Source organism: Homo sapiens, chromosome 12 (genome assembly GCF_000001405.40).
Source record: "Homo sapiens chromosome 12, GRCh38.p14 Primary Assembly".
Lineage (NCBI taxonomy): Eukaryota > Metazoa > Chordata > Mammalia > Primates > Hominidae > Homo > Homo sapiens.
The window spans coordinates 48,510-58,115 of NC_000012.12; positions in this window are offsets into that span (position 1 = coordinate 48,510).

Below are 9,606 nucleotides of genomic sequence, written 5' to 3' on the forward strand. Positions count from 1 at the left end.
ACCCCCATCTCTGCCCCAGGCAACCTCAGATCTGATTTCATCACTAAGGATGAGTTTTGCCTATTCTAGAGTGTCGTATAAATTGCAACATACATATGTACTTTTTTACATCTGACTTCTTTCACTCATCATGTTGCTACATGGACCTGTAGTTTGTTTCTGTTGAAGAGCAATATTCCATTGTATAGATGGACCACCATTTGTCATCTATTCACAATCCATGCACATTGGGTTGTTTCCGTTTGAGGGTTATAATGGCTACAGCTGCAATGAACATTCTTTTGCAAATTTTTCAGTAGACAAATGATTTTATTTCTGTTGGGTAAATAGGAATGCAATGGCTTAGTTGTATGGTATGTATATATTGAAATTCTGTAGAAACTACCTGTTTTCCAAAGCAGTTGTACAATTTTCCATGTCCCCCATAATATATGAGGGTTTTGGTTGTTCTGCATCCTGGGAACATTTAGCATTGTCAGTCTTTTAAAATTTTAGTCATTCTAGTGTGAAATGGTATCTCATTGCGGTTTTAACTTGCATTTTTCTAATGGCTAATGATGTTGAGTACTTATGTGTTTATTGGTCATTTGGATAATCTATTTTGTGAAGTGCCTGTTCAAGCCTTTTTGTGTCTGCAATTTTTACTAGCGAGTTTATTTCTTCTTATTTAAACCTCACTCTGGGCTCCGGACAAATATATCAATGGAATTCTTCATACTGCTGCTTGTATGTTTTGAAAGGACCTCAGCTGAACATAAAGGTAAACTTACAATTTCCTCTCTCACTCTTCCCCCCTCCACTTTCAGACCTTGGCCTCCACCACCGACACATCCTCTAGTAGATGACCTCATCATCCACACAGTGGCACAGACCAGAAACCTAGGCAGCTTTCCTGATACCTCTTCTCATCTGTTTCCCTACTCCCACCCAATCCATCGCGTTTCCTCCTGCCTATTTCTTGAACCCAATCAATTCCCCCAAATTCCTCCATCTCCACCATTGCCTAAGCCACCATGGTCTCTCACTTGCATTACTGCAATAGCCTCCTTTCTTTCTTTCTTCTTTCTTTCTTTCTTTTTTTTATTTTGGAAAGGAAGTCTCTGTCACCCAGGCTGGAGTGCAGTGGCGCAACCTGGGCTCACTGCAACCTCAGCCTCCCAGATTCAAGCAATTCTCCTGCCTCAGCCTCCCAAGCAGCTGGGATTATAGGTGCTCACCACCACAACCCGCTAATTTTTGTATTTTTAGTAGAGACAGGGTTTCACCATGTTGGCCAGGATGATCTCGAACGCCTGGCCTCAAGTAATCTGCCCACCTCAGCCTCCCAAAGTGCTGGGATTATAGGCACGAGCCACCACACCCAGTCAATAGCTTCCTTTCTAACAAGTCTTGTTCCCTTCAGGCTGTACTCCATGTACCAATCAGTGTCAGGCCTTTAGAAAACACAGATGTGATTGTAAGACTCTCTTACCCAAATCCTTAATGGCAGCCCATAACTCTTAACATAATTATTTGTTCCTTAATGTGATCTGTAAGACGAGCCATGCCCCAGCCAGACGGTTGTCTTCGAGCCATGGTTCTAGGCTCCTTGTGTCTCAGGGCCTTTGCACAGACTGACCTGTGTTTGCAACACTCCTTCTCTCTTCTTCACCTCACTAACTCCTGCTCATTCTTCACATCGCAGTTCAAATTTCACTTCCTCCAAGAAGTCTGCCCTGTTCAGAGACAAGATTAGGAATGCTCTACGCTTCTTTCATAGACTTATCTTATAATGATGTATTTCTGGGACTATTCAAAGTATGTTTCTCTCACTAGACTAATAAGCTCTGCGGGGAACGAATCTGTTTCGTTTGTGGTGCGTCCGGGTACCTAACACCAGGACCAGCTGCGTAACATGAGGCCCAGGGCAAAATGAAAACGCAGAGTGCTTCTGTTCAAAGAGCAGGAAAAGGCGCCATTGAAGGGGCTCAAAGATACGGCGTTTTCCTTTCTTCTGTGTTCTCTCTCACTTGACTTGTCATGGTATTTTTATTTGCTATTTAATGTCATGCTAAGTTAAAAAACAAATTTAAGGCTGGGTGCGATGGCTCACGCATGTAATCCCAGCACTTTGAGAGGCTGAGGTGGGCGGATCATGAGGTCAGGAGTTCGAGACCAGCCTGGACAACATAGTGAAACCCCATCTCTCCTAAAAATACAAAAAATTAGTTGGGCGTGGTGGCGGGTGCCTGTAATCCCAGCTACTCGGGAGACTGAGGCAGGAGAATGGCTTGGACGTGGGAGGCAGAGGTTGCAGTGAGCCAAGATTATGCCATTGCACTCCAGCCTGGGTGACAGAGCGAGACTCCATCTAAAAAAAATAAGATAAAATAAAATAAAAAATAAATTTAAATTATCGTGACTTTTTACCATTTGTTTTTATATTGTAGGACGCAAGGTATAAATGAAAATATTAGCATTGACCTCATATGTAGAATCAACACAATTACACAATTCACATTCCATAGCTCATCCATGTGTATGTATTTCATTCTTGCTAAACCAGTAGATACGCTGCACAAAAGTAGCCCAGCTCTTTCTATCTCACTTCCTGACACCCACACACTCCAGCAACACTCTCTACCTTGGGATCATGGACACTAAGGAAGGACTGAAAGGACAGGAGCTATAGGCTGCTCTCTCTTCCCCTTTCCTTGTTCCATACAAGTACTAACGAGGCCAGGCCCTGCTTAGCTTCTGAGACGAGATTGGGCACCCTCAGGGCACTGTGGCCATAGTGTCCTGCCCTTTCCTTTCATGTCATCTCAACACGGGGGTCGGTTAGCACAGGGAAGTAACTCCAATAAGAGGATACAACAGGGCTCCTCAGTCATTTGTGTCTCTTCAGATGTCATTGCCTTCTTTCTGTGTACAAGCACATTCTGGTTTCAGTGGAAAGTGAGGCCTCTCCAGTTGGTTAGTGCCCCGCTCACTCAGTCACTGACTAACAACCCTGCCTCTACTCACAGCATGCTGAGTTTCCTGCACATCCCACAGCATGGCTCCCCAGGGGCATGGAGAAGATTATGTGAATGGGGTGGCAGGGAACGGCGGCCACACACATCACATGTGGCTCCTCTGCTCCTGTGCATGCCGCCTTGTCCTACAGGACTTCGCTGACAAAACAGAAGTGTGAAGATATCATTATTAATGTGACAGCAGAGCGTTAAACCGAATGCGGGGCACTTTCAAGTGCAGGACACTATGCAACTGACTTCGCAGGACTCAGAAAGTGGCCCTGCCTAGCACATGGCCACATAGCAGATGCTAATCAATGTGTTAAGTAAAGGAATGAAGGGTTGTCACCTGATAGAAGATAAACAGTTCTTCTGGTTTTGATACAAACTAAAGGCCTCTCTCCTCCCTCACCTTGGAGATCCTACATAAATGTCAGAGGGGCACCACTGCCTGTGATTGCCTATCTTTCTGGAGAGGAGAGAGACAGTTGCTCTAATATGTCAGAGCAAGAGTGAGAGGGAGGGCATGAGGGGAAGCTGACAAGGCTTATCTGTGAATTAATCACCGCACTTTGCATGTACTGCAGGTCACACCTTGTATCCTATGCTCTTAAGACATGGTCCAAGTGTGAACTAAGCTCATAGCTCACTGCCTTCATCCACCTCCGTCGCCGCTCCAGAAGAGAGCTCGAGTTGCTACTTCATTAGCAGAAGGCCTCTGGACCCATCCTGGAGGGGTCCGGGAGCAGACAGAGCAGCTCAGTCAAGGTCAGAGCCACAGGTTGCTGGACCTTCTCAAATTCCTCATGTACTGCCTTGATTTTCATCACATGCAGAAAGATCTCTGAGAATCACAAAGCCCAAGAGCCAGGAGACCTGGGTTCAAAATCTGGCTTTGTGTGAGCCTGGGCAAGTGATATCTTCTCTCTGGGCCTCATTATCTGCTCCATTAAATGAGAAAAGGAACTAGTTAAGTGGCCTAAAAGCAATGTTTCCCAGGAGCTCTGATGTCTCAGGAATTGCACTGGTCGGGACAGGGGAGATTCTCCCCAGCTTCAGTCAGCAGTAATAATAATAACAGGAGGCTGGGTGTGGTGGCTCACGCCTGTAATCCCAGCACTTTGGGAAGCCAAGGGGGGTGGATCACAAGGTCAGGAGATCGAGACAATCCTGGCCAACATGGTGAAACCCTGTCTCTACTAAAAATACAAAAATTAGCTGGGCGTGGTGGCGTGTGCCTGTACTCCCAGCTACTTGGGAGGCTGAGGCAGGAGAATCACCTGAACCTGGGAGGTGGAGGTTGCATGAGCCAAGATTGCACCACTGCACTCCAGCCTGGCAACAGAGTGAGGCTCCGTCTCAAATAATAATAATAATAATAGGAAACATTTACAGAGTACCCACTGCCCCAGGTGCCATCATAAATGTTTCACATACATTCACTCATGCAGTAGTCACGATATTCCTATGAGATGGGTTTCAACTTCTATGCCCATCATCAGATGAGAAACTGAAGTGCTGAATGTCTAAGTGACTACTCAAGGTCACACAGCTAGTAAATGACAAGGCAAGGATTCAAGCCTTTGTAGTCTGGCTCTAGGGTGTGTCTGTTTAACTACACTATTCCCATTGTTTTACCTCCCTCCCTCCCACCAACCCATCCATTCACCCACCCATTCATCCAAACATCCACCCATACATCCATCCATCTGCCCACCCACCTATGCATCCATCTCGAGTTTCATATAAGAGTTTATTTAATAAAGGAATTCTGAAGAATTATAAAAAATAAAAACTTGAAAACTACTCAAGATTGCTATTTAAACTGCAAAAGTCCTCAGGGGTGGGGTTCTATGACTCTCCCCCCTTCCTGGGTCATTCTTAGAGAAGTTTCTGTGGGTGAGGGTGAGGAAGAGTTGGCAGGAATTAGGAAAAGAGAAGATTTTAAAACAATTTGTCAAATGTGACAACCTGCAGCTTATGTGTAGACAGAGTGATGTAAGAAAGCTTGGGTGGCTTGGAATGTGGCTTCATTCTTGCTTCCCTCCTTCTTGTCTCCTCCTCTAGGCAGAACTAGAAGGGGTATTAAGGATTAACTTGTATAATGAGACTCCAGAGGGCTGGACTCAGACCAGTGGGTGAAAGACAAAGGAAGGTCGATCAAAGCTCAATCTAAGGAAAATCTTTCTAACCACCTTGTCATCCTAAAATTGAATAATCATCTCGTGATGCAGAGAGCTGTTGTCCTGGGAAATTTTGGGCAGAGCCTGCTGATCAGGAATGATGTAGTGGGTGCCTGATGCCGTGGAAGGGTGTCTTAGAGTGGGTGAGTCCTTCTTACTCCCAAATCATGTGATTCCATTTCCACCTGGCTCCGCTGTGAGACTTTCAAGGCCCAGGGAAAGGCAGAGTATGGTCCCAGCTCACAGGGAGTGGGGGCAGTGAGGACAGGTTAGAGCAGTAACCAGGATTCTCTGATGTGTACCTCCAGCTTGAAGCTTTCTCAGGGATACTCAATTCACTACCATTGTGCCCTCCTCAAAGCCAGTGTTAAAGAAAGAGGAGGTCAGGCTCAGTGGCTCATGCCTGTAATCCCAGCATGTTGGGAGTCCAAGGCAGGAGGGTGACTTGAGCCCAGAAGTTCGAGACCAGCCTGGGCAACACAGGAAGACCCTGTCTCTGTAAAAAGTAAAATAATTATCTGAGCATGTTGGCACACATCTGTGGTCCCAGCTACTTGGAAGGCTGAGGTGGGAGAATCACTTGAGCCCAGGAGGTCAAGGTTGCAGTGAGCTGTGATCATGCCACTGCACTCCAGCCTGGGTGACAGAGCAAGACTGTATCAAAAAAAAAAAAAAAAAAAAGAGGAAAATTCTTTCTATGCCCTTCTCACAGCAGGGCTTGATGGATTGTTTAACATGTCTGTCATGGAGGCTTCTAACCTTCTCCAAATCAAGGCAGGTCATTTACTAGGGCTGGAGGTGGGGGTGCAATGGGGGAGGGGTGTTCCCACGTTTAGCTGGTCCCAAAAGTTCTGTTTAGACCTGGTCTCACTCCCCAAACAATTTGTCTAGCACTTTCCTGTGCATGTAGAATGTACAGATGTAAGCTCAGGGGATACCAACACAGACCCAGTTCACAGATGAGGATAGGGAAGCTCAGAGAGAGAAAAAACTCACCCCAGTTCCCATGACCAGAGTGACAAACTCAGTCTTCTGGCTCCAGGAAAACTCTCACTGCTCCTACTAAACACTAAAACCTGCTGAGCATTTACTCTACGCAAGATACTGTGCTCCCACAACTCCATTATACCCATAGTACGGGGGAGGAAACTGAGGCTCAGAGAAGTTACATAACTTCCCCAAGACCCCAATGCTGGGAAGGGGCAGAATGAGAGTTCAGACCCGTGCCTGCCTTTTCCAGAATCCATATTCTTTTCCACGACCTTATTCCACTTTTAAATCCAGAGAAGCTCCAAGGAAATGGTGTCCTGGGAGAAGGGGTGAGGGCCTGGGTGCTCCAGATGGCTCAGTGCCTGGCAGGACTGGCTCCACCCATCAGGCGGGCATCGGGGGAGAGTAGGGTTTTCCTAGCTCAGAATGTGACTATAGCAGGTACCCAGAGATGCCCTCCCATCCCTAGGCTGTACACTGCATCCCCTCAATTGACTGTCGCTATGTGAGACACAAAAAATTTGTGCCTCGGGCTGCGTTTAAGAGAACCCCTGGCTGAGAAAACTCAGGGCAACCTGGTCTGGGTGGCATTTCTGGCTCTGCTGTGTACTAGCTTTGGACAAGTCACTTTATTTCTGTGCACCTCTGTTCCCTTTGCATACTTGACATCACGTCATCAAGCATCCATTTTCAGGATCATCGCTAACTCCCTGCCCCAGGTACTCTCTTCACATCAGACGTCCTAATGTGTGGTGCAGAGAAATAGGGGCGGGGCTTAGGGTAGGAGGCATGGGTTTCAGCCCTAGTTGTGCCTCCATGGCTGTGTCACTTCAAGCAACTCACCCACTCTATCTGCAAGCTCCACCTCCCGGGTTCACACCATTCTCCTGCCCCAGCCTCCCGAGTAGCTGGGACTACAGGTGCCCGTCACCATGACTGGCGAATTTCTTTGTATTTTTAGTAGAGACAGGGTTTCACCGTGTTAGCCAGGATGGTCTTGATCTCCTGACCTCATGATCCAGGCTGGGATTACAGGTATAAGCCACTGCGCCCAGCCAATACATACTTTTATATGATCTAGCAATTTCAATTCTATGTTTTTACTCTTAATAAAACACATGAAACATATTAAAATATATGTCCCCACAAAAACTTGTCCATTAATAATCACAGCAGCTTTATTCAAAATAACCAGAATCCGGAAACAACCAAAATGTCCATCAACAGTTGATGACATGAATTATGGTACATCTACTGTGAGTACAACTCTAAAATAAAAGGAACAAATGAATGATACCTATAACAGAATGGAGGAACCTCAAAAGTATTATGCTGAGCAAAAAAGAAAAACATGGCCAGGCATGGTGACTCACACCTGTAATCCCATCATTTTGGGAGGCTGAGGAAGGCAGATTGCTTGATCCCAGGAGTTTTAGACCAGCATGCACAACATGGGAAAACTTTGTCTCTACAAAAAATACAAAAATTAGCTGGATGTAGTGACATGCACCTGTAGTCCCAGCTACTAGGGAGGCTGAGGTGAGAGGATCACCTGAGCCTGTGAGGTTGAGGCTGCAGTGAGCTGTGATCATACCACTTCACTCCAGCCTGGGTGATGGAGTGAGACCCTGTCTCAAAAAACTAAAAAAGGGGACTCAGAAAAAAATGGCAAATAGGAGGCAGGTCTAACTTGCAGCTCCCACTCAGATGGAGACAGAACAGTGTGTGAAGACTCACATTATGAACTTTTGCTCCAAGAACTACCGCAAAACATACCAGGAAACCCAAAGGAATTCACAGACCCTTTGAAAGAAGCAGCTCGCCGCTGCAAACTTCATGAGACAGCCAAAAAACTGTGAGTGCCTAAAGTGTGAGAGGGGGAAGGTCTGCCTCCAAATACACATCCTTACTGGGGAAACTGAAAATCCAGATCACAGGAGAAGGATTTAACCTTACGTAGAGGTGAAATAAATTTAGAGAGCCGAGTGAAATATAAAAGTAGAAGCAGCGGTGAGAAGAGCTCTGTAAGTACTCCCAGCCCCCAGGGAAGCCCAGGGAAGCCATTTCTGACTTTCTCTCACAGGGGTCCTCAGGGAGGGCAGAGAGTGGGACTGGGGAAGGGTCACAAGGAGGAGACTTCCAGCAGAACTTTGTAATAATTTCGACTGAGCATGAATTTTCCTGGACAGCATTGTGGGGTAGGGCAAAAACGGGAAGTGCAGATATGAGCACAGAAGCCAAGGCAAGCAGAGAGGGGTGAGACCTGAAAGCCCTGCTTGCTTTCTCAGCAGAGAGGCTTGTAGCCTGGGGCAATATCTCAGCCTTGCAAACCTGAGGCCTGGATATAAATTCAGCTCTGTCGGGAGAGCATGACAGGAGCACTGGCCTTGCTGGCTACACGGGAGCTGGGTGAGACCTGTTGCTGCCGGCTTTCCCCCACTTCCCTGGGACTTGTATGAAGCATCAGAGGCAGCCATAATCCCTCTTGGAGCATAACTCCACTGACCTGAGAACAACCCCCCATCCCCCACAGTGGCCACAGCAAGCCCAGCCCTAGGAGAGTCTGAGCTCAGACATGCCTAACACTGCCCCAACCTAATGGTGTTTCTTTACCAGCCCTGGTAGCTGAAGACAAAAGACGAACTCATGGGAGCTCTATGGCCCTGCCCATCACCTGAGAAACCCAAATACTTACCCAGGTGACCTTAGAGCAAGCTTGTATCCACCCCTATACTACCACAGCTAATGCTCTCTTGAAAGCACCACCTCCTAGTGGGAGGCCAACCAACTCAAGCCATTACAGCAACTCATAACAGAACAGCACTGCTCCAAAAAAGGAGAAAACAACAGCCAATTCCACTGCCTGTAACATCTTGGGTCCCCAGAGGCCCTGAGTCTGTCCATGTAGCAACTTCATTGCTAGTATAACCAGCATTCGAGAAAAACAGCACACTAAACAAAACTACAACCAAGGACTCTGACAGAGTCCACTTCACTCCCCTGCTACCTCCAGCTGAGCGGGTGCTGGTATCCACAGCTGAGAGACCTGAAGATGAATCACATCACAGGACTCTTTGCAGACACTCCCCAGTAACAGCCCAGAGCCTGGTAGCCCCGCTGGGTGGCTAGACCGAGAAAAGCAATAACAATCGCTGCAGTCCAGCTTTCAGAAAGCCGCATCTCTAGAGGAAAGGGGAGAGCACCACATCAAAGGATCGCCAGTGGGACAAATCTGAACAGCAGCCCTTGCACCCCAAATCTTTCCTCTGACATAGTCTACCCAAATGAGAAAGAACCAGAAAAACAATTCTGGTAGTATAATAAAACAACGTTCTATAACACCCCAAAAGGTCACACTAGCTCACCAGCAAACATGGATCCAAACCAAGAAGAAATCTCTGAATTGTCAGAAAGAGAATTCAGAAGGTCAATTATTA